Source organism: Homo sapiens, chromosome 15, assembly GCF_000001405.40.
Source record: "Homo sapiens chromosome 15, GRCh38.p14 Primary Assembly".
Lineage (NCBI taxonomy): Eukaryota > Metazoa > Chordata > Mammalia > Primates > Hominidae > Homo > Homo sapiens.
In genome coordinates, this window is record NC_000015.10 from 81,548,453 (window position 1) to 81,549,617 (window position 1,165).

General features: G+C 40.1%; 1 annotated feature.

The window, feature by feature from the left end:
• Nucleotides 264-765: an enhancer, noted in NCBI's record as "NANOG hESC enhancer chr15:81841057-81841558 (GRCh37/hg19 assembly coordinates)". NCBI's record gives its function as "activates a minimal SCP1, AML or CMV promoter by ChIP-STARR-seq in primed H9 embryonic stem cells {active_cell/tissue: H9 hESC(primed)}" and the evidence as "EXISTENCE:reporter gene assay evidence [ECO:0000049][PMID:30033119]".

The following is a 1,165-nucleotide window of genomic DNA, read 5'->3' on the forward strand; positions in this document are numbered from 1 at the left end:
GAAGGCCAAGAAGTAGGGTAGAAAGGATTTAGTTCGGAGCTGACTTAAGTGCAAACCCCGTTGCCAACCAGTTGCCTATGGATGACTCATCAACAGATAGTCATAAACATTCGTCAGACCATTTAACATTGGGTAGGAAACTTGGACAACTTGTGTGGAAATGGGCTGAGAACCCTCCAACTTCACACAAGTTGGAACTGAGCAAAGCATTTGGAATTTTACTAGGAACTAGGGTAATGGGAAACACACTTAAACACGTGGGGCACCCATTTACATCTGTAAACTAGGATAATAGGTATTGTCAATTATTCTTAATAAAGGATGACTCTGAAGCCAAAAATTATGGGAAACTCACCAAAGGTATAGAAGCAGGAAGTAGCAAAACCTGCACTCACACTTCTGACTATTAGGCCAGTGCATTTTCTACTGCAAAAGGCAACTGCTGGGGAAGTGGCCAAGAAAGGCCAGATTGAAATTCAATAGCCATGCGTCTTTCCCTGCTGTGCTATGAACAGCCAAATAAAAGTTACTAACAAAAGTTCTTATTCATTTTCTGTGCTCACAGAGTCTGGGCCAGACAGCTGGTGATACCAACCTGCGTAACAGGAGTTAAGATGATTAGGGCAGTTTGAGAGGTGAGGTGGGAGAGATGCAAAGTCTGAAGGAAAAAAATTTAGATGCAACCTCACTGGTAATCAGGGGAAATCAATAACAATGAAATACTTCCAATAGGACAAGGCTGGTAAAAAAAAAAAAAACAAAAAAAAACCAAGTTTAATAATATGAAGTGTGGGGAAAGATATGGGTACTCTTTCAACACTGCTAGTGAGAGGACTCATGGGAAGGCACTAGAGGGCAATATCTTTTAAATTAAAAATATACATGCCTTATATTTCATTAATTTTTGATAACTCCACAGAGAACCATTTAAAATGTATACGGGAAGCATATTCATTGCTAGATTTCTTCTGTGACAATGAAAAGTTGATACCAATTATAGAATGCCTAAGGTTAATAATATTTCTTTTTTTTTTTTCTTGAGAAAGAGTCTGGCTCTGTTGCCCAGGTTGGAGTGCAGTAGTGCAATCTTGGCTCACTGTAGCCTTGACCTCCTGGGCTCAATTGATCCTTCCACATCAGCCTCCCGAGTAGCTGGAACTACAGG